This window comes from Homo sapiens, chromosome 12 (genome assembly GCF_000001405.40).
Source record: "Homo sapiens chromosome 12, GRCh38.p14 Primary Assembly".
NCBI classification, from domain to species: domain Eukaryota; kingdom Metazoa; phylum Chordata; class Mammalia; order Primates; family Hominidae; genus Homo; species Homo sapiens.
Window position 1 is genome coordinate 9,740,692 of NC_000012.12, and position 23,961 is coordinate 9,764,652.

The 23,961-nt window shown below is 36.5% G+C and overlaps 1 protein-coding gene across 1 annotated transcript, besides 6 other annotated features; it reads right to left on the reverse strand.

The window, feature by feature from the left end:
* Positions 2,519 to 2,588: an enhancer, noted in NCBI's record as "active region_5953". NCBI's record gives its function as "activates an Ori minimal core promoter by ATAC-STARR-seq in GM12878 lymphoblastoid cells {active_cell/tissue: GM12878}" and the evidence as "EXISTENCE:reporter gene assay evidence [ECO:0000049][PMID:35858748]".
* Positions 2,609 to 2,678: an enhancer, noted in NCBI's record as "active region_5954". NCBI's record gives its function as "activates an Ori minimal core promoter by ATAC-STARR-seq in GM12878 lymphoblastoid cells {active_cell/tissue: GM12878}" and the evidence as "EXISTENCE:reporter gene assay evidence [ECO:0000049][PMID:35858748]".
* Positions 10,022 to 10,316: an enhancer, noted in NCBI's record as "tiled region #11505; HepG2 Activating DNase matched - State 12:CtcfO, and K562 Activating DNase unmatched - State 5:Enh". NCBI's record gives its function as "activates a minimal TATA promoter and a strong SV40 promoter by Sharpr-MPRA in HepG2 and K562 cells {active_cell/tissue: HepG2 | K562}" and the evidence as "EXISTENCE:reporter gene assay evidence [ECO:0000049][PMID:27701403]".
* Positions 10,777 to 10,856: a silencer, noted in NCBI's record as "silent region_4235". NCBI's record gives its function as "represses an Ori minimal core promoter by ATAC-STARR-seq in GM12878 lymphoblastoid cells {active_cell/tissue: GM12878}" and the evidence as "EXISTENCE:reporter gene assay evidence [ECO:0000049][PMID:35858748]".
* Positions 11,795 to 20,210, reverse strand: CD69 (CD69 molecule). The gene is made up of 5 exons (NM_001781.2): positions 20,066 to 20,210; positions 15,606 to 15,728; positions 14,371 to 14,570; positions 13,896 to 13,999; positions 11,795 to 12,898 (listed from the first exon to the last, which is right to left on the reverse strand). Exons 1-5 carry the CDS (start codon positions 20,127 to 20,129, stop codon positions 12,790 to 12,792), a joined length of 600 nt encoding a protein of 199 aa, NP_001772.1. The 5' UTR covers positions 20,130 to 20,210; the 3' UTR covers positions 11,795 to 12,789.
* Positions 18,175 to 18,394: an enhancer, noted in NCBI's record as "active region_5955". NCBI's record gives its function as "activates an Ori minimal core promoter by ATAC-STARR-seq in GM12878 lymphoblastoid cells {active_cell/tissue: GM12878}" and the evidence as "EXISTENCE:reporter gene assay evidence [ECO:0000049][PMID:35858748]".
* Positions 20,740 to 20,819: an enhancer, noted in NCBI's record as "active region_5956". NCBI's record gives its function as "activates an Ori minimal core promoter by ATAC-STARR-seq in GM12878 lymphoblastoid cells {active_cell/tissue: GM12878}" and the evidence as "EXISTENCE:reporter gene assay evidence [ECO:0000049][PMID:35858748]".

The following is a 23,961-nucleotide window of genomic DNA, read 5'->3' on the forward strand; positions in this document are numbered from 1 at the left end:
TGTAAGGACTTTCCCGACATGGCACCTTGCTTTCTCAAAGCCAGCCATGAAAAGAGTCCCCTCTGGCAGACAGTTATTATAATCTTAGGCACATTCCATTCCATTCATGTAATCATGCATATACCATTACCTTTGCTGTATTGTATTGATTAGAGGCAAATCACAAGTCCTATCCACATTCAAAGAGAGGAGATCACACAAGAGCTTGAAGACCAGAACACGGGGATGATGGGAGCCACCATAGAGTCTGTGGTGCATAGGGTCTCTGATGCTTTAGCGTCCAGGGAACTATGGCCTAAGTTACTGAACATAGTCCAAACTTTGTAGACATTTCTCATCTATGCCTAGTTGCTCCCAATCATTTTTTATTCTATTAAATGTTTTTATTAATATAATTTTTACTGAGACTTTAGAGAAAGCAGAAACAAATACATCTGTTGAATATTACAAATGTACCTGAAAGTACCCTATTGAATTTTTAGGTAGCCTTTGTTAGTTTGAGAATTAAAACAAAAAAACTTCACATCTATGAGAAAAAAAATCAGATATATTACTTTTAATGTTTTATTGAGTTTTCTTAAAGAGCAACCTAATTTAGAATATTAATCAATGAGTTTTCAAGGCCACTTGATATATACATGCCAAAAAGTTTCCATTCAGAGAAACATCGGGTTAGATTTGTATTAATAGATTAATTTTTATGAAATTTCATACAAAATTTATAAGATTTATATTGAATGTGTTAATTTATGTGGAAATATTCATATGAAAGTAGCAATCTTAATTTACACTAAACTTATAAATACAGTTTGATGATTTGATTAGCTAAAAGCTAACATTTACTAAGAACATTGTGTGTGTCAGGTATTGGCTCATTTAAGTCTTCTGGTATCACAACTGTAGGAGCTAGGCACCTTTATTATCCCATTTAAGTGCTGATGAGGAAAACAAGGTACTTCACTCAAAGTCACACAGAAGGATAGGAGTTGAGCAGAAATTTGAAACCAGATTACTTGACACCAAAGCCTATAAATACAATGGTTAAACTATATTGCTTTCCCTGAAACTGGAAGTTGAGATTAAAAATGATGTCCTCCCTTCAGGGAGCTGATTTTCTAGTATGTCAATAAGTAAGTAATTTACTGACAATTGATATACAAAACAAAAATGCCCCAACAGAGCACGCATGAGATTTTACCGCAGCCCACAGGTGCATCAGAGAGGAAGTGCCACTTGAAATAAGATGTTACATTGACATAAATAAGCATTTAGTTTTACTAAGAAACAGAGATGATGAATCAGTGGTCTAACCACACTGAAATGGGCGGTGAAGAAGCATTTTCAGGTTTTGCAGCAATTTGTGTTAGGCTGGTTTGTCTTTGTCATTCTAGGGTTTTAAAAAACTTCATACAAATGGAATCACACAATCTCGTGATCATTTATGTTTGGCTTCTTTGCTTATCAGTAGGTTTCTGATATTTGTTTGTGTTTTTGCATGTGTAACGGGTATAGTGCTTCTTGTATGGATGCTGCAACATTTATCTATTTTATAGTTGATGGACATCTGATTCCAATTCAGGGCTATTATGAATAAAACTGCTATGAATATTGATTCCTGTCTTTGGGTGCACATACATGTTTGTTTCTATTAACGAGTGAGTGGAATTCCTGGTTCACAGAGTATGCTGATGTGCAGCTTTAGTAGAGATGACCAAATTAAGATGGTTATTAATTTGAACTTCCTTCAGGTTTATGAACATTTCAGTTGATCTAAATTCTCACCAACCTTTGGTATTCTCAGATTTTATTTCTGTTTATTTCTTTAAAAATTTTAGATATTCTAGTTGGTGTGTAGTGACTCCTTTAAGTTTTTTCATTTCTCTGATGACGAATTTGAGTGTTTTGATAAGCTTTTTTGCCATTTTGGTGTCCTTTTTCTGGGAAATCACTTCTGTAGTCTTTTTCTCACTTAAACATTTGTTGTTGCCTGTCTTTTTAAACCGATTCATGAGTTTGAAAACTCTCACTCTCCCATTCTTTGCTGAGAGACTTTGCGTGCACTTGGGGGCACACCCTGGACCCTCAGCAAGCAGTTCGCTGTGCTGTTCCTTCACTTCCTGCACAGGCTGAGCTTCGAGGTCAGCCAGAGGTGAGAGCTTAGGTTCTTCTCAGGTAACTCCTGAACCTGTTTACAGCCCTGTACATTCACACTGCACAGGCTGAGCTTCGAGGTCAGCCAGAGGTGAGAGCTTAGGTTCTTGTCAGGTAACTCCTGAACCTGTATACAGCCCTGGACATTCACACTGCCCTGTGCTTTTGCACAACCTTCAAGATTCCAAGAAATATGTTGGAGATTTTGAAGCCTACTATAGACATCTCATTTCCAGTTTTTTTTTTTTTAAGTTTTCATCAGCTCTTTGTCTCAGTTTTTATTATATTGCTGCCTCCGGAAGTTAAACAATTATCCCTGGTGTTTTTGACAAACACCCTCAGAAATTATGGAAAGAGTAGACGAATTTAAATAGTCTGGAAGTGAGTAGGCAAGCTTCAGCAACAGTGCAAGCTGGAAGAAAAGGAGGTGTTCTGCCAGTAGGGGGCCCTGTGTGATTGAAGTTGCCATAAACTTTGACAAAAATGAAACCAGGCATTCAGCTTTAAATATATATATAATTTGAGACAGAGTCTCTCTCTGTCACCCAGGCTGGAGTGCAGTGGCAGGATCTCAGCTCGCTGCAACCTCCCCCTGCCAGGTTGAAGTGATTCTCTTGCCTCAGCCTCCCGAGTAGCTGGGATTATAAGCACCTGCCACCACGCCTGGCTAATTTTTGTATTTTTAGTAGAGGTGGGTTTTCACCATGTTGGCCAGGTTGGTCTCAAACTCCTGACTTCAGGTGATCCACTCGCCTTGGCCTCCCAAAGTGCTGGGATTACAGGCATGAGCCACCATTCCCATCCAACGTCCTATATTTTTGAGTGTCAAAATACGTCATGTTTTTCCAAAGTGTCAGATTGCCTGGCTGTGAAGCGTAGATCTGAAATTTAAAGACTTCCGGTAAAGCAATTATTTGTGACTTGGTTTTGTTACATATTAAATGAGATATTAGATCTAAGTCACAGGGCCGTTTTGGAGATTACATGAATTATATGTAAAACATTTAGTGTCTGGCATATAGAAACACTATAGAGATGTTATAATTATTGTCGTATTTTAATCATCCTTATTGTAATTACCGCCATCTGGTACACACTTTGTTACTTTTATTATTTTGGTGCTTTGGATAATACAGGGAGCAAGAGTGCTAAAACTTAGCAAAGTAGTGTGGGTTGAAGACCACATCATACAGAACCAGCGATAAATCAACAAGATATGACCAGTGGAGCAGACTGGAGCAACAGTTAAGAGAGAGAATTAATAAGCAACAAACAAGTTTTTAAGTACCCTCTGAGAATTCTCAGGATTACTCAGAAAAATATATTTTTAAAGGCAGAATGAGACTTCAAGTTATTTTATTTGGCTATTACAAAAAGTGTGGATAGCTTTTTTATTACAAAAAGGGTATTACCAACCCTCTTTCCACTGAGGACAATTGGAGAGTCTAGACAAAATGTTTCAAATCGTTAATTTAATTTAATTTAATTTTTTAGACTGGGTCCCACTCTGTCACGCAGGCTCAAGTACAGTGGTGCAATCACAGCTCACTGCAGCCTCAAACTCCTGGGCTCAAGCAATCCTCCCACCTTGGCCTCCCAAAGTGCTGGGATTACAGGCACGAGCCACTGCACTCAGCCTCAAACCATCATAAAGGCATCAATGAAATTACATGCTATTGAAAAATAAAACAATACTAATCCAAGAGATAACTGAAACCCAGAAATAAGAGCTGCTTTTCCAACAGAAAATCTTACAGATGAAAAAGCTAAGGAGTCAAGCAGGGCTCTTGGCAGTCTTCGGTGCTAGAGTAACTCCAGTCTCCAAGTAGGGGTGGGATGAAAAAATTAATAGTTCTAGTTAGTTCACCAAAAGCTGCACCCCAGACAAAATCTTCCGATCTTGACATCATTGGCACTTTGAGTCATATTATTCTTTCTTGCAGGGGCTGTGCAGCGCATCGTAAGATGTTTGGCAGCATCCTTTACTTTCATCCCGTAGATGCCAGTAGCCAGCCTCTTCCCCCATCTCACCTACCCTGACACTGACCCTTCACCAAGTCGAACAATCACAAATATGTCTAGACATTGCTAAATACCCTTTGAGGGATAAAATTACCCCATCCCAGGTAGAAAAACACTGCCCTAGGAATAAGACTAATCTAAGAGTAGATTGGCTCTTGAAGGAGGTGAAACTCACCTTCAAATCCTTTCCATTACTAAAACTGAAGGAAAGTTGATCGTAGATTGCTAATGGCTGTGATGATTTTCTAGAAGCACATTTACGTTCTTCCTGCAGGTACTTTTTTTGTCAAAGAAAAATTGCATCATACAAACTAAACAGGGAAGAAAGATTTTATTCAAGACCATTGTAATAGAAGAGAGTAATTGAATCCAATTATGCTGAAGTGGGAAGATGTTTAAATACTGGAGTGAGCTGGTGGAAAAGGACCAGAGCATGTTGAGGGGACTCTGGTCAATGTGATTAGGTCATCGGTAGTTGTTAATTGAAGCTCATTGAAGTGAGGTTCCTGTGCTTCCACAGAAGCCGGAAGTAGGGGCACTGTCTCGCTTGATGGTTACATTCCAAAAGCCTGGCTCCCAGGTCTTTGAGAAAGACATTCCTGGGCTGTAAAACTGGAAAGAGGCTGGGAGAAGATTTATGTTTCAAAGAAGCAGAGAAAGAATTTGTAATTACTTTCCTAAATGATCCAAGAAAAGAAAAATCATGGATTCACAGACAAAAAGAAGTCTGAGGGAAACATTAAGGCCATCTTGGTCAAAGAATATAACATGATTCTAGTTTTCAAATAATTACTATATTTTTTTCTTTTGTTTTGAGATGGAGTCTTGCTCTGTTGCCCAGGCTGGAATGCAGTGGCGTGATCCCAGCTCACTGCAACCTCCACCTCCCAGGTTTAAGGGATTCCGGTGTCTCAGCCTCCTGAGTAGCTGGGATTACGGGTTTATGCCACCATGCCTGGCTAAGTTTTGTTTTTTTAGTAGAGACAGGGTTTCACCATTATGGCAAGGCTGGTCTTGAACTCCTGATCTCAGGTGATCCGCCTGACTCGGCCTCCCAAAGTGCTGGGATTACAGGTGTGAGCCACTGTGCCTAGCCTCAGTTTTTTTCTTTTTTTCTTTTTTTTAAGACAAAAGTCCAGCACTCAACAACAACACGAAATAAATAACTGGGTACATAAATAGAAAAGATGACATTAAAAGTTACAAATAGAAATAACAGGCAGTGGTTAAGAAATTCCAAGGGCTCTAGAAAATGCAGTATCACACACAGACTTTAAAGTAAGCATGTTCAAATATTATTTCAAAAAATCAGATTTAAGTCAATACATATTTAAATTTTAAATAAATCATTTCTTAAATTTACATACCTATATAGTATTTAAAATGTAACAACATAAAATATTTTTAAAATACTAATATATTTAAAATGAACTCCTGGAAATAAAATGAATATATTAGAATTTGGACTGAAACTTGGAAAGTTTGAAAAAGGAGAAGATGGAAACTCTAGAACTAAAATCCACAGTAACTAAAATTAATTTCACAGAAGAAATAATTCTTAATCTAATAATATCTATTCTCAGCATCTCCCCCCAAAACAACCAGTCAACCTAACAAGTAAACAAAGCTAGAACAAACATTACAGTTAATGGTAGCATATTAAAAACTTTGCCTTTGACATTGGGAACAAGACAAGGTACTCACTGTTATCATTTCCACTTAACATCATTGTTCACGATGTTAACAGATACAATATGATTTTTAGGTTATAAAACTTTGGAAAGAAAAATACAGCACACATTTACCATGGATATGATTCTGTTTATAGAAAATCCAAGAAAATCTATCGATAAATTATTAGAAGTAATAAAGGAGTTTATAAGGCAGCTGGATACAAATTCAATATAAAAGAATCAATTGTATTTCTGTTTCTCAGAAACAAACTGAAAATAAAAATTTTTAAAGATACTATTTTTTTATATTGCTGCTGTAACAAATTACCACAAATTTAGCAGCTTAAAACGGCACATGATTATCTTGCGGTTTCTATAGCTCAGAAGTCCAGGCACAGTTGGTTTTCTGTTTAGGGTCCTATAAGGCCAAATTCGAGGACCTGGTTGTTTTCTGGAAGCTCTGGGGAAAAATCTGCTTTTAAGCTTGAAATAGTTTGGATGTTTGTCCTCTCCAAATCTCATGTTGAAATGTAATCCCAGTGTTGGAGAGGAGCCTTGGGGGATGTCTTTGGATCATGGGGAAGATCCCTCATGATGGCTTAGTGCTATCCCCTTGGTAATAAATGAGATCTCACTGTGAGTTCAGGCAAGATCTGGTGAGAGCATGTGGCACTTTCCCCCCGGCTCTCTTCACATGGTGGCTCCGCATTGCCATAATTGTAAGGTTCCTGAGGCCTCACCAAGAGCAAGTGCTAGAGTCATGACTGTGCAGCCTGCAGAACCATGAACCAATTAAACCTCTTTTCTTTATGAATTACCCATCCTCAGGTCTTCCTTCCTTCCCTCCCTTTCTTCCTCCTTTTTTCCCTGCCTCCCTCCTTTCCTTCCTTCCTTCCTTCCTTCCTTCCTTCCTTCCTTCCTTCCTTCCTTCCTTCTCTTCCTTCTTTTTCTTTCTTTCTTCTTTTTTACAGCATCCTCACTCTGTTGCCCTGGCTCTAGTGCAGTGGCAATCCCAGTCCACTGCAACCTCTACCTCCCAGGCTCAGGTGGTCCTTCCACCTCAAACTCCTATGTATCTGGGATGATAGGCACATGCCACCATGCCCGGCTAATTTTTGTATTTTTAGTAGAGACTGGGTTTCATCATGTTGTCCAGGCTGGTCTCGAACTCCTGAGCTCAAGGGATCCACCCACCTCGGCCTCCCAAAGTCCTGGGATAACAGGCATGATACACTGCACCTGGACAGGGAATTCTTTATAGCAATGCAAAAAAAGTGTAATACAAAGCTTCTTCAGGTTGTTAGCAAAACCAGTTTATTCGACTATAGTGCTGAAGTTTCCTTTTCTTCTTGGCTGAGGACTGAGAGCCTCTCTTAGCTTCTTAAGATCAACAGTCATTGTATTATTGATTTGTTGTCTAGGTACATGATAGATGATAGATAGATAGATAGATGATTGATAGATAGATAGATAGATAGATAGATAGATAGATAGATAGATAGATGATGGGGGTGGGGAGAGACAGATTCCTTTATCAATTATACGTGTTAGAATGTCTTCCACTCTGTGACGACTTGTCATTCTGTCCATGATGTCTTTTGAAAACTAGAAATCTGTAATTTTAAGTTTATAATGTGCAGATTTTTGTTTGTTGGTTTCAAGTTATTGGTAAGTATATGTAAAATAAGGAGAAAATAATGTGAACTTCAGGTCTCAGAACCTAGAAATTTGGAAGCAAGTCAACTTATGGTAATGTAGTTCTTTAGCATAGACGAAACACTTTTACATGCATTATTTTAATTACATTTTAAATTTGGCATTACAAATATTGAGAAATATGAATGGGGTGCAGCATTATCAAAGGTTAAGTTTTACTTTTCTAGATTATGCCATTTCCTTTATAACTAGAAAAAATACAAAATGTAGTGTTGAGAGAGTGGTGACTGCCACATCTTTCCACAAAAGAAACCAAGAATCATCATCCACACACACACAAGCCACTTGAGTGTAAAAAATAACCAAGATATATTTTAAAAATTTATTGTAAATTGACAAATTATAATTGTATCTATTTGTGGGGTATAATGTAGTGTTATTTGTACACAATGTGGAATGATTCAGTCAAGCTAATTACCATATCAATCACCATCAAATACTTATAATTTTTCATTGTGAGAACATTTGAAATTTATTTGCTTCGCGATTTTGAAATGTGCAATATATTATTGTTAATTATAGCCAGCAAGAAATTATTTTTTAATGTCCTTTGACAATGACTTAACACAGAAGTGCAGTAATCTCATACAGTCACTAGATGGCACTGCAGCTTTTGCAACAGAGATCTTTAAGACAGGCAGGAGGGGTTCTTGAAATAAACTCATTTTTCGTATTTGTAATTGGTCACCAGACAGTAGAGTCATGCTTTAAATAATAAAACTATTCCCTTTAAGAATTATATATTTGTATCTATTTAAAGAAAACACTTTTTCTTAAGAATAAAATAATTTCATTATAGGAAAATTCAAAATTGGCCGGGCGCGGTGGCTCACGCGGGTAATCCCGGCACTTTGAGAGTCTGAAGCCGGCGGATCACTTGACGTCAGGCGTTCGAGACCAGCTTGGCCAACATGGTGAAACCCCGTCTCTACTAAAAATACAAAAATTAGCCGGGCGTGGTGGTGCGCGCCTGTAATCCCAGCTACCCGGGACGCTGAGGCAGGAGAATTGCTTGAACCCGGGAGGCAGAAGCTGCAGTGAGCGGAGATCGAGCCACAGCATTCCAGCCTGGGCGACAGAGTGAGACTCGGAAAAAAAAAAAAAAGGAAAAAAAGAAGAAAGAAAGAAAGAAAAAAGAGAAAAGAAAAAGAAAGGAAAGAAAGAAAGAGATCCAAAATTATAGAAAAACATAAAGAAAATAAATACTTCCTATATTCCTCCTCCTCAGGGAAAACCACTGTGTTTACTTTAGTAGTTTTACTTTCTGTCAGCATATAGAAATATAAAACATGTTTTGTATATTTAATATTGAACAGGAAATAATCCTATTGTATATATTATTTTAAACTAGCAGCAATAATAGTTTGAGTATTCTTTCATATACATAAATGTTCTTCATTATTTTTTAATGTTGGGATAGCATTTCATCATGTAGGAGCATTATATTTATTTAACTAAATCTTTGGTTTTGGACAATTAGGTAGCTTCTGATTTTTCACTACTAGAAATATCCCTTTGATAAACATTTTTGTGGTTATGTCTTGCACATCCAAGATTATTTCTTTAAAATCTCCCTCCCTCCCCAGTAAGTATTGTCAAGCTGCTTTCCAAAGGGTAAAGGAAACCAGTTTACACCATCACCAGCAGTCGTTCTGGTCATATATTTCCCAATATTTTTCCCTGAAAAATCATTTACATTTTAATTTCAGTTATAATACATTTTCATGTGCAAAATCTAATCAAATTATGAAAATTGACAGCAAGCTTAAAAATATCATTTCTATATTAGTATCATACAATTTTTAAGTAGTTGAATACTGACTATAGCACCTAACAGTTCAATGGCATTTTAGCCTTTTTAAAAAGTTTTATCCAATCCCTACAATTATGTGAAATGTGCAGCTGATGTATTCCCCTTTCCAGAGGAAGAAATTGAAATTATGTTGAAAAAGCAACGCAAAACACGGATAACTGATAGTTTTATTTTACACATATTTATGTAACTATCCAAGATGAATGTAGCCTACAGAGTTAAAATTTTGATAATTAGCTAAAGGTTTGAATACAGGAGTATATCTTTAATATGCTTCCATAGCACCCTACGTTTTTCCTATTATAACATTCATCACACCATGTCAATTCATCTTGTTGTTTGTTTTACAAATAGACCACGAATTCCACAAGGCCAGTTGCCATGCGGAATTTGCTGAGTATTTTAACTCTGGTGTCCACCATAGTAGTAGGTGCTTACTTATAACTTGTGAAATGAAATTTTTAAAAGGCTTTCCAAAAACAAATACAAATAAGATATATTACGTAGAAATAGACATGTCGTGTAGAAACGCGGCTTTATGCCAATACTGGAAGTTTGAAGACATAGTGTTTCTAGTTCTAATAATCATCATGAGTATTTAATACATGCCTATGGTGTACTAGGGAGCCAGATAATGTTTTAAGTTTGTTTTCATGTACTAACTAATTTAACATCTAACTAATTTTAGCTGAATTTTGAACGAGTTCTGATAAAATAGCTAGTCAGCCCGCGCGTGGCAGAGATGAAACTCGGGCGGTCTGGCCCCCGTGCTTTGGGTCTCAGCAGCTCCACGCTCCACATAGATGTTTTGTAGGATCCTTAAAACAGAAGTGCAGTAATCTCGTATAACCACTAGATGGCACTGCAACTTTTGTAACAGGGGACTTAGCCGGGGGCAGGAGGGGTTCTTGAGACAAACCCATTTTTTATATTTGTCATTGGTCACTTGCAAGTAGAGTCATACTTTAAATAATAACATTATTCCCTTTAAGAATTGTATATTTTTTATCTATTTAAAGAAAACAGTTGTCCTTATGAATAAAATGACTTCAAATTATGTGTAAAAAATAACTCTGTTATCCGTGTTTTGCGTCGCTTTTTCAACATAATTTCAACTTCTTCCTCTGGAAAGGGAAATACATCAGCTGCTCATTTCACATAATTATAGGGATTCAATAAAATTATTTGTAAAAATGATAAAATTCATTGAATTGTTAGGTGATACAGTCAGTATTCAATGACTTAAAAATTGTGTCATACTAATATAGAAATATTTTTAAGCTTGCTCTCAATTTTCATAATTTGATTAGATTTATGCACATAAAAATATGTTATAACTAAAATATTAATCGCAAGACATTGTTTTCTAAGATGACTCGGGAGTAGATTGTTGGTAATGATAGAATATTACCGCTAGGAGGCTGCTTGTTTCTTTTTTCCCACAGCTGTGGGAACTCAGGAGCACAGAGGTCATTATTTTTCACTAAGCAGTGTCTGAAATCCACATTTCTGTTTGCCGTTTGCCAATAGTTTAGAGATACCATACACATCATACATTTCCAACAAGCAGAGAAGAATATTGCAAATTACATTTATAAAACAATTTTGAAGGTAATCAAATGTATTAGGCTATTCTTGCATTGCTATAAAAATATCTGAGACTGGGTAATTTATAAAGAAAAAAGGCTTAATTGGCTTACGGTTCTGCAGTTTTTACAAGCATAATGCTGACACTGCTCAGCTTCCGCGGAAGCTTAGGGAGCTTTTATGTATGTTGGAAGGTGAAGTGGAGTGGGAGCAGGCATGTCACATGGAGAAAGCAGGAAAGAGAGAGAGAAAGAGAGAGAGAGAGAGAGAAAGTGCTGCACACTTTGAAAAGACCAGATCTCCTGAGAACTCACTCAGGTGCAAGGAGACCATCAAGAGGATGATGCTAAACCATTCATGAGAGATTCGCTCCCATGATGTAATCACCTCCCACCAGGCCCCACCTCCAACAAAGGGGATTACAATGCGACATGAGATTTGGGCAGGGACACACATCCAAACTACATCATTGAGTTTTTTGCTGATTGAAATATCCCATGAAGATTATGCCTCTTTTCTATATATTGAATTATTTTACATAAATAACTAAAGTGTATGTAGCACCTCAGAATTGAACAAGATACTTTCAGAGCATTGACTATGAGGAGTAATTATTACAGAGCATCTGCTATATACAGAAAAATGGATATGGATACATACACCCTTTAGCATATAAGCATATGAAAACAATTTGATATGTATAAGCTATTATAAAACTAAGGGTTTTACTCTACATGGGATTTTTTCCTAAGTTATAGTAACTGTTTTCTGCTTTCTCATATAGTATATACTTTTTAATGTATTTTGAAGGAATGAACTTTCTTGGAAACCATTGTGTTTATTCTACTTTTATTTCACATATATAAAAACAGCTTATAATTGTACTGAACACAAAATACAAACAAATACATTTTATTGCACATAAAAATATTTTAAATGAAGTATTGAAGTATTGCACGTAATAGAATTGATTTAGGAAAGTCACAAACCTATTATAAGACTAGTATTATTCTAGGTCTGAAGATTACAGAATATTTCCTAATAGAGATTTGCCACATCACATATTGCACATTTTCCAACACTATTCTATGTCTTGCAAATATTCCTCATAGTCTTTGCTTATGTCTTTTCTCTGTAAGACACTGTATAAAAGATTATAAAGGCAAAGAAATATGTACCATCGAAAAGGACCTGTCTACAGCTGAGGAAGTAAAAAAATAAATACATGATCATCCCATTCTTTTTGGGGAAAAATAACAAAGTAAATTGGCAAATTTCTCTAAAAAGAGAGAAATATTACAAATCTTAGTTTCATAAGCATTTGTCCATTTATAAATGCTCCCTGAGTTTAAGGGATTCAATTAGACTAAAAACCTATGTTACCAGCCATAATTCCTTTGTTTACATTCAGTATCTAGTACCAACATCTAACTCCTTCCAATAGTGCAAATGCATGAAGGGCTCTCACTGTTGGTAGTCATTCAGCAATAAATAGTAAGTCCACGCCTAGTTATTTCATTATTTCTGGATTCAAAATAATATAAAGTGCATCCAAAGGTTGCATAGTCATTCTTCTCATTCTTGGGCATGGTTATTGGTCAACCTGTGATGCTTCTAGCTCATGGCAATAAAAGCCCACAGTGCAGATTTTCCTGGAATTTCTTCCTTTTTTTCCATAGTTCTGTTTGGAAGAAAATTCCCAAGACACTATAAAATTTTTTTTCACAAAGTCTCTATGGAAGACTTCGGACCACAGAGCAGCATCCACTGACACAGATTTCCTTGAGTTCCATTCTATAATAGTCAATAAGTGAACATGTTTCCTTATTATTTGTAAGGTTTGTTACATATCCAGTATAAATTCTTCTCACATTCCATGCTGCTGACCTCTGTGTTTTTCAGAAAAACACACTTGTCAGACCCTGTAACGTTGAACCTGTCAAACAATAAAAAAACTTAGAATTATTTTCAGCTCATTGTTTTCATTCAGTTACATGAGAATGAACTCGGAGATGGTGACCTCTGCTTCTTTTAAATTCTTAGTGGGATACACAAGTCAAATAATCATAGACTAATCTGTAGAGACAATGGACAAGAATTGAAAAAAAAATAGGATGTGGAGAAAAAATATGGAAGTAAGAGGAAAGCACGCCATTCATTTGGTTGGCATGGCACCAGATAAGTGATTCTTGGTCATTTCTGAGTTCATAGATTTTTCAATAAATAATTTCACAAAATTGTATGCATTCAACAGCCATGCATACTAGTGCATACAGCTTTAAGGGGTTTATGGCTCCTGAAGCCCATCTGTGGATATGGAGCCATAGGACAAATATTAGGAATCCCTTTTCTAGAAACCTGAATTTTAATCTCGATACTTTATCAGTATTATGATCAACAGCAAACTTATAAAATGATCTTCAAACATTAAATGTATTTTAACTAAAGGTAATGAAAATAGAGTATCTAATTCTGGGGCAAATTTTCTTTCAGGTGTATAGAAACTCATAATTAGGCATTGAAACTATTCTTTATTCTGTGGAGATGAAAACTGAGAAATAGTAAGAAGGATTTATTTTCCAGCAACTGTCTTATTAGTAAAGACTAAATGTGACATTGAAAATGGGTTTTTGTTGCATCATCATAATTATTATTGAAATATTTCCAAATTAACCAGATCTACTACTCACATTAGAGTTTGCTGAGAAAAATTACTATAAGCATTTATTTTATGTATTATAAGTGTGGATAAAGAAAAAGAATAATAATAAAGCCTGTTATTAAAGAATTCCAGAGTATACGCATTCAGAAGAGATTGTTAGAGCTCTTGAAGAGCTCAGCCTTTATATTTAAAGTGCTTTGAAAGGAGAAAAGGAAAGTGATTTTCCTGAGATGCCACCCTGGGGAATATAAAGAGACTTCTGGAGACTTACCAGTTGTTAAATTCTTTGCCATTTGACCACTTCCATGGGTGACCAGGTTCCTTTTTCAGTCCAACCCAGTGTTCCTCTCTACCTGCGTATCGTTTTAGAAAGTTCTTAAAGAAAGCACAAAGGAGTTTGTTACATTAAACACCCTTCTGGGGAAGTAGATAGTAAATCCTGTTTCTCAAAAGCTGCAACTTGAGGCATGACAGCTTATCTGACCATGTACTCATTCTATATAGGATCAGCATATTTGGATTTCTGGTCTTTGAAGCTAAGCAATCAAATCAAATTTAAAAGATTAAATTAAATCTCATTTTGACCTCAGGCTGATCATATGGTTCTCTGGGATGACATTTTCCTACATCTGAAATAGGTACAATGTTTGTTTGTTTGTTTGTTTTCTCCACTTAGAAACGGAAGGAAAGCACTGATTAGCCATATGAATTAAAATAGTAGTATTTTATCTTTTTTTTATTCTTACCATGTCCTTTTCAGAATCAATGACAGCAAGAGTAGCACCATGTTCAGAACAAGCATTTTGGGCTGAAGTCCAGCTCCTCTTCACAGTAGAAATAAAGTAGCATTTCCTCTGGTAGCCAACCCAGTCCTCAGAGCATGAAGAAACATGGCTGTCTGATGGCATTGAGAATGTGTATTGGCCTGGACAATTGTATTGGCCCACTGTGAACAGAAAAATGCTTTGTTTTAGTAACAAAAGAAACCAAATACCCACAGCATGCAAAACTAGCCTTAGGATGCTATGTTGTGCTAGGTGGTGATAAAGTAAAGGATAAAAGCTAAAAAGTAGAATTCTGAAAAGGGTATGAAGAAAGAAAGTTCTCAGGACCATATCTGATCTTCCATTGTGCCTAATCATCATTGGATGGAGATATGAGGATGAGGGGATGTACTTTTGGTCATAATGTCAGAAAATGACAGAAATATAGAACAATTCTGAAAATTTGGACTAGATATTTCTTTGGACTAGAAAGGATAAAGTGCATTATACATTTCAAATAAGGTTTTGAATCTGAATGCAGAGGCGGAAGAATTTGAAGATGCAGTATTTATAGCACTAGGCTGGAAAGATGGAGAGAGTAACTAACTTTTAGGGAACCAATTCAAAATACAGAAAGACATATGACTCAGAATATCTCAAAACAATGGTAAACATTCCCATTTGTAAAAGATACAAATATATCTTGGTACAGCTGGAGGTATTGAATACCAAATCACTACTGACTCTCTGGGAACTTTTAAATATAATCTTAATTATTCAGAACTACCATTCTGTGTCCTTTGAGATAAAACACAAAAGACTGGCCACTTCCTGATTAATCTATGGCTTTAGATACGATTTTTTTCCATAATCAATGAATGTGAAGTTCACATTTTTTTCTAGCTAAATAGGTATTTATTCAGAATTCAAATCAGCTCCCTTCATTCTAGATGTAAACATCTTTTCAAATGCAATTTTATTCTACAGTAATATATAAATCATAGATACTTTTAATACTTATAAAAGTATTACATTAATTATTCAAGGATTGTGGAATTATGTTTAGTATTGATTAGGAAATTGGCCATATATGGTACATGGGATGATTCTGAATTAGCTAGTTTCTGATTAACTAGACTAAACTAATATTGATTTCAGCTGGGCATGAATGCTTACAGCTAGGAGGCTTTGAAAGAATTGATGAAGTGTAGACCCACCTGATAAGGCAATGAGAGCTATGATTAAAATGGTGATGAAGACCACATTCATTACAGCACACAGGACAGGAACTTGGAAGGACCCTTCATGACGTGTTGAGAAATGGGGACTGGTGGCATCATCTGGAAGGGAGAAAGTTGATGATGAGTTCAGGCAGACTATAGAAGTACTATAGGAATATGCAACATTCTTTTGAGGCATTTAAACTTAATATTTCCTATCTCATTATATGAAATTTCCCCGTCTCTTTATAGAAATTTCTAAGTTAATTTACCCCCAATTTTGAGTGAATTTGAATAGTTTATTGTTGGCTTGAAATGAAACAATTCAAGCATAATGATGAGATTATAAAGTGTCTCCCCAAAATATTTACCTGACACATATGATTTATACACTTAGTAACTATGAAAATTCTAAGTATATAATCAGTTTGTTTTAATGATGATAAGAACGTTTATTAAATATGCACATGCCCCAGAAGACACATAAAAAAATTCTAGGGCATGGTGGCTCACACCTGTAATCTCAGCATTTTGGGAGGCCGAGGTGAGTGGATTGATCACCTGAGCTCAGGAGTTCAAGACCATCATGAGCAACATGGTGAAACCCTGTCTCCACCAAAAATACAAAAAATTAGCTGGTCATGGTGGCACGCACTTGTGTTCCCAGCTACTTGGGAGTCTGAAGTGGGAGGATCGCTTTAGCCTGGGAGGCAGAGGTTGCTGTGAGCGGAGATTGCACCACTGCACTCTAACCTGAGTGACAGAGTGAGACCTTGTCTAAAAAAATAAATAAATAAATAAATAAAAAATTCTAGCATAATTCCTTAATCTCCTTGTAGTTACTGTTTGAGAGAAATGATGTGAATGGGATAAATATGGATAATATCATAAAGTAAAATATTGAATTGCTATATAAATATCTGACATTAAAATGACTGAACAAAATTTTAAACGTGACAGTATTTTTTGGTGAAGTTGCTGCAGATGTGGAGCAACTGGAATTTTCAGATATTATTGGTGGGAGAGTAAATTGGAAAAACACTTTGGAAACTGTTTCTTATAAAATTAAATATATGCCTTTTCTATGGCCCAACAAACCTACTCCTATGTATATCCTCAAGAAAAATGAAAATATGTTCTCAAAATGCCTTGTGCAAGAATGCTCCTAGCAGCTTTATTCTTAAGAGCCAAATTCCAGAAATAATCCAAATATCCACCAACAGGAAAATAAGTGAACAAATTATGGTATATCCATACAAGGGAATTCCGCTCAGCAATTCAAAATAAGACAACTGATACATGCAACAAAATGAAGGAATCTCCAAAAAAAATGTTGAGTGAAAAAAAATCCAGCCACAGAAGATTGTATACTACATATTTGCATTTACATGACTTTAAATAATAGTTGGTCTAAGCTCTGGTGTCAAAAATCAGAACAGTAGTTGCCTTTGTGTGTGTAGGAAAGGTAATTTAACTGGAATGGGACACAGGGCAAACTGTCTAGGGTGATGGAAAGATTCAAATGTTGCTGGTCTTGTGGTTATACCACTGTCATAAGTCGTTAAACTGTATACCTACGAGCTGTGCATTCATCGTATGTGAACTAAACCTCAATTTAAAATGATATGTGAATGAACAGTAAAAATTTGAATTTTTCAAAAGATGTTAAAATAATAGAGGAAATGTAACAGTATTATAGACCAAATATTCAGCGAAAGTTATTTCATTTACCCTCTGTACAATGGTGAAACAAAGTAAAAGCCTTTTTTTTTCCCAACAAGCAGTGTTTCTATGGAAGGATTTAGAATAAAAATATGATGTTAACGATAACTGATAGTTACAAAAAACTCTAAGAGGATGTCTGTTCTACACTCTAAGTAAATAACTGAGGAAGGAGAAAAGAGAATTTTGCGACTTAGATTTTGGATTTTAATTTTGCAGGATGAGCTGTCAGGAGTCTTAAAATGCGGCCCCACAAGGAGTATACAGGTCCCTATTATGTTCTCAAAAACCAAAATGTAAAATGGCTGCTTAAGTAACTGACAATGCAAAACAGTTTCAAAATAGAAAACATTCTATTTTTCAATATGGATGATTTTCATAACTTAAAAAAGTTTACATAAGACATATCTTGAAATACACATATTTTTACCCTTAAAACATTTATCTAAAGGTAAACTGGACCAAGAGAAGTTGCCTTTTTTTCACAGTAATTTACTGGGTACTGGTGTCCACATCAACTTTTGCTTTATCTGGAAGTTATTTTTCCCATCACAGATCGGCACTCAGATTTTGCAAGAGAAGCCTTTACTTCACTGCCGTCTAGCTCGATTTTCTCAGCTTCTCAAAGCAAATTTTTCTTTGTTCACCGGTATAGAATCATCATTGGAAGCCGCCTTTGCTACCCAAGGTACCAAGTTCGGAGCTCTGTCTGGTTTCACTTCACATTATGTGAGTCAGTCGTGCTGCTTGAACTCAGTATTGCAACAGCTCTGTCTCCTCAGTGAGCACTAACACACCCCAGTGACCCGTGGGTTCCAGAGTCTCAGTCAGCCCATCGGCTCAACGAGGGAGTAAGCTTTGGGATGACTCTCAGATGATACTTTATTCCCATTAATGAGGGCTACTGTTTTATTTATTTATTTTTTGAGACGGAGTCTCGCTCTGTCGTCCAGGCTGGAGTGCAGTTGCGTGATCTCGGCTCACTGCAAGCTCCGCCTCCCGGGTTCACGCCATTCTCCTGCCTCAGCCTCCTAAGTAGCTGGGACTACAGGCGCCCGCCCCCACGCCCGGCTAACTTTTTGTATTTTTAGTACAGACGGGGTTTCATCGTGTTAGCCAGGATGGTCTCCATCTCCTGACCTCGTGATCCGCCCACCTCGGCCTCCCAAAGTGCTGGGATTACAATTGAGGGCTATTGTTACCCACAGCTTGACTTATCTCCTAGGTGACAAAACATTTCCCTCAACAGCACACTTTTGCTTTGATTTCAGGTCCTGCACATTAATGGAGAAGTTGAAAATCAACTCAATTTGCTACTAATTGAATCACCCAAGGATAACGTCCAAGGATGACTAGGGCAGCCTAAATCAGACATTCAAAAGAAAGTTGAAACAGTATCAGGAAAAGTTAAAAATTTCTGTATTAGGTCCTTCTTTCACCTATGCTCTCTATTTATTGAGTAGTTATTATTATTATTATTATTATTATTTCTTTTTGGCGGCACACCTGTGCCGTAAGTAATGGCTCGCCTGATTACCTGAAAATTTGCATGCTTTGCATTTGTAATCCACACTATATTTTATGTTCTTAAACACAGGATGGATTTATGAGAAGTAACTGATGTTTTTCGGAAGTAAACTAATATAGTAGACACACGCTTAGAAAATAATCCCTTTCCACAAGATTGTTTTAGTTCTCCTGTTTCTTACATATCCCTTTGTTAATAGATCGCTCTTGCTGACAAGTAGACTAATTCCTAAGTGCTAGTGCTTTAGGGTACCTCATTAACTAAGGAGAAAGAGGGATAAATAGAAAAACTCAACAAATTTTACAGAAGTAAGGTATAGAAAAACAATAGGCAAAATCCCAGTAACAGGAAATAAGCTAGATATGTGGATAGAATAGACAAATAGAAGAGAGGAAAATTTCTAAGATGATTATATTTTGCTGAGAGACAAAGGAAAGGAAGAACAAATTCTAAGTTACATAGTCTTTGAAGCCAGAGATTGGAAAGGTTAAATAGAAGGATGAAATAGAGGAAAAGAGTCCTATAAAGAATACCAAAGCAGGAGATTGCATTTTCGGGAATTCTTTTGTGACTTTTTTTTTTAGCAAATTACAAATGGACACTGTAAATTTTCATCTGCTGATATAGCTATTCTCTCAAAGATGGCAAACTTGCCCATTTCCAGCAACTAGAGGATGCTGTCATGAGAACACAGGATAAGGTACACTGAAAGCAGACACTGAATGCAAAGGAAGGCAAACAATGTAATTGCTTATGTGGAAAACAGAATTTTTCATAAAGAGAGACAACACTTCCTGGAGAATGTACAGATGGATATGAAAAAAATGATGGAGAATAACTGGGCTAGAGCAGAAAGTTTTCTAATTAAATCTAAACACTGAGATGATATAAACTAAAGCAAAGAGAAAGATCTTTAAAGATCTTCTGAAATTCATTTTTGCGGCTTTCTCTCATCTCAGGTATTCTATCTTCTTATAGATAAAAAGGGGTTTACCTCTTCCCTGAAGAAGAACCTGTCTTCTCTAAAAGACAAAGCCTCACTTCCTTCCCTAACAACCATTAGATATCACATACATAGAGATTAGCAGTATATTTCTCTAAGATTATATATCATATATAGAGAGATTACCAGTATATCTTGTATAACTACTATTAATGTCATATATAGAGATACCAGAGAGTAAATAGGCAATCAGATCTGACTTACTTTCTTGTCCACTCTCCGGATGCAAAGAGCTGTTCTCTGCTACGAAACAATTTTCAGAGCTCATCTTTATTCTCAAGATTCCCTAGTTAATCTCAGGTCAAGTCAAGCTACAGTGAAAGTCTTTGCTGGAGCTCTTGTTGAGTCTGTGAGGCTCTGAGGCATCTCAGAGTTTATACTCCCTGATGATGTCTCCGCCCCCTTCCTCTTGCCGCCTACTTGCTTGACTACATTGTTTCTCTTTAATTTATGCTCCAGTGGACCAGACAATGTATAGTGTGTTGTTGTGGTGAAGTATGGGTTTTCCCTGTTGTCTGAAATGTGCTTTCTCACAACTGTAAGGTGTAGCAGGAGGAAAGTGGGATTTTCCCAGACTCTGAGACATCCTGCCTTAAATTTCTAGAAAACATAAACAGTTTAGGAGACAGCATAATCTAAGTAAAGAATTAAAAGTTAGAGGTTCCTGTCTTTGAGATGAAGATAATTTGGAGAAGGAGAGTGTAGTATTTTCCAGGAATCCCGTTTATCGATTTATGCATACATTTAACTGATATTTACTGAACACCCCCTATGCACCTGACACTGTCTGGGGCCCCAGGATTTATTGCTGAACATGAATTTTAAGATCTCTATGCTCATGGATCTCTCTCCAGCTTGAAAGGGTTTTATTTAGAAAGCTACGAATTGGTTTTTGGAAGTGTGTCATTCGCTTCTTCCCTGGTGACTAGATGTATCACGTAGTAAGAAGTAAGAATGCAGGAAACAGAAAGCTTGTGGTCTGGAACTTCCTTGCTATGCTCTAAAATTGTTTATCTTAAATTATCTGTTTCATTTGTTTCCTGCTAATTTTCTTGTCACATTTTACTGTCATTTAGACTGCTTTTATGTCACCTCAGTAACAGCTCCTTCAATTCTCCCCCTGTGCTCTAGGTTATTCTCTTCAGATACCTCTGAGACTTCAGTCTTTTGAGGTATGATTATTATTTAAAACATCGCTGTGGTATCAGTCTCACTCAGACAAGTAATGACAGTCAACGCAAGATGAATGCAGAAAGCTATGTATGGTGATTTAAGGAGGGAAATCAAAATACCACTCTGATTAATAATCTTGGTGCCCCAAATTTTATTATTAATATCACTTATTTAGAATAAAGACGTTAAATTTTATGCATAGGTGGGTTGGAAGTTATCATCTAGAGAAGTTAGTTGGACCATTAGATGCATTTGTCTACCTAAGACACAAAGAGGTACATGTTGGCCCTAAAAGCTCCCTTTGCTTCCATCCTATTTTTCAGTCAATTTCTTAGTCCCTTTTCCACATAGCAGCTAGAACCATTGTTTTATAATTAATTCATATGATTTTGGTGAAGTGTTTAACTCCTCCCCCCACTGCACTTTGAAAGGCTTCCTATCAAATGTACCGTAAAATCCAAAGACCTAATAGTTGAGAATGCTTTATACATAATATGGCCCCTGGTTACCTCTCTTATCATTTTTCCTATTATTCAGTATCCTCTCTGACAGAAACCTCCTCCTTAAAAATGCCAAGCATCCTACCACTACAGGGCTTTTACTTTTTCTCTAAAAGATTCTTTTTCCATCTCCCTGCATGTCTCGCTCTCCCTTTAACCGACTCACTCTTCAGCTGCCACCTGCTCAGAGAAATTGTCAGTTGCTATTATATGTAAAATAGAACCTCACACTCTGTGCCTGTACAGATTGCTGTCAATATCTGATATTATATCATGGTTTATTATCTGTTTCCCTTACTAGACTGTAAGCTGCTTGAGGGCAAGGGCTTTGACTTGTCTCCTCTGTGCCTCTAACACCTGCCGTAGTAACTGGAATCTAGTATGTATTCCATGCCCTTACTGAATGCGTGAATGAATGAAAAATATGTATAAAACTCTAAAAGTTCTAAAATATGGAGTGCTATTTATTGGGGTTCGTAGGATTGTTTGGTTGAGAAGTGTATGACCTTAGGCTGCTACATGCAAAGAACCAGGTAATACATAGGAATGGATGTGAGGTCATTTATATAGGTCATCAGGCATGGTCTTGTTGAGGAGGTCATATGTGGAATTAAATAAAAATGGGAGGAAAGAGTTAACCATTGAAAATTTGAGAACAGAAAGAACAAGAACAAGAACACACTCTATAAAATAAAAAGAAGTTTAGCTTCTTTAAGGAAAAGAATGAAGGTAAGTGCAGTAAGCCAGTAGTGCTTCAGGAAATTGACCATACAAGTCCACTGAGCTTTGGCTTTGTTATCTGTAAACTAAAAATATAACATCCAATTTATAATGTTTCTATGAAGAAAAATTATGAATTCTAAATTTTTTTAATATAGTATTTGGTACATATTATGCCTTCAATTATATGGAAGGGAGTGACAGTTTGGTACACGTCATGAAAAGAGAAAGTTCCTCATTTGATGTAAGGCATTCAGAGATAATAACTGAGAAGTCACAGCATAATTGCTGATGTAATGTAATGTGTCTCTTCTCCGTCTGAGAAAGAGACAGAGGAAACTGCAGTCTCCTACAACCACCTCTAGCAGTTTTCATGGTACTAAGACTCATTTGCTCAAGGTTTCTTGCTTCTTCAACCATAATCAAGTTAATGGATGTGTGTATACACACACACATCTAGTGTGCACAGGTTTTTATATATATGTTACGTATAATATATATTTACATATATGCCCTAAGCCACAGAAAAATGATACCTAGAAATCTTATTTTGAGGAAATATTTTTAAACATTATGACATTGATCAAAATCTATTAACTTTATTTTGCAGTCATTTTTCTCTGCTTTTTTTTTTTTTTTTTTTTTTTCGAGACAGAGTTTTACTCTTGTTGCCCAGGCTGGAATGCAGTGGTGCGATCTCTGCTCACTGCAACCTCCACCTCCTGGATTCAAGCGATTCTCCTGCCTCAACCTCCTGAGGATCTGGGATTACAGGCACCCACCACCACGCCCGGCTAATTTTTGTATTTTTTTTTTTTTTTTTAGTAGAGACGGAGTTTCACTATGTTGGCCAGGCTGGTCTCGAACTCCTGACCTCAGATGATCCTCTTGCCTCCGCCTCCCAAAGTGCTGGGATTACAGGCATAAGCCACTGCTCCTGGCCCTTCTCTGCTTTTTTTTATGGGGATAGCCCAAGTATTTTGTTGAAATCAGTACTTGGGTGCGTGGGAGGAGGCAGCCACTGCAAGAAAAAAGTAGCCAACGTACCAAGCACATGGTTGTCAGTGGCCTCCTGGATATCCACTGGGCCCCATGCTGCTCAAGGTCTTCTGCAAGAGCCTGAACTTGTTGAAAAATTAACTTTTTCTTCATTTATCTTCCCTCCCTTCCATAATTCTTTCTATTTTTCTTAAGTGTGAGAAATCTCTTTTAATTTGAGAAAGCAATCAATTTAAACTCACAGTGAATAATGGTTGCTTGGCACTGTCCTAGCTGACACATGCTGTTAATTATTAACAACATGTAATTATTAACACCACGCTATTTCAGTGATTATTAAGAGTATGCTATTTCACTTGTGACAATGTCCTCTTAGGTACAATAAACTATATGCCCACGGTACTAATCAATACTTGTTAAGCCAAAGAAACATATCTCTACACGTGAAATTCCAGAGAAAAACAAAGGAAAGTGTAGAGGGTCAAGATGCAGTGTGGGAGAGATTTGGGGGTCAGAGAGTTCTTCAGTACCCCCTTTTTTTTAATCAAAACATGGAAGCAAACTTATTGTGGTTAGCCCTGATGGGTTTAGTTCTCTTAAAAAAAAAACACACATAAAGAAACAAACCTTGTGCAAGCAAACCCCTTTCAACCTCTTTATAAAACACAGATGGCAATAATATGTAACTTTCCATTTTAGGGAGACATT

What these genes read in the sequence shown, in the direction of transcription:
- CD69 (NM_001781.2), bottom strand. Translation starts at nt 20,129, where the DNA reads ATGAGCTCTGAAAATTGTTTCGTAGCAGAGAACAGCTCTTTGCATCCG. An exon ending in AGCTCTCATTGCCTTATCAG is followed by an intron (nt 14,571 to 15,605) that starts GTGGGTCTACAC and finishes TTCTGTTCACAG; the next exon opens with TGGGCCAATACAATTGTCCA. An exon ending in TTGATTCTGAAAAGGACATG is followed by an intron (nt 14,000 to 14,370) that starts GTAAGAATAAAA and finishes GCTTTCTTTAAG; the next exon opens with AACTTTCTAAAACGATACGC.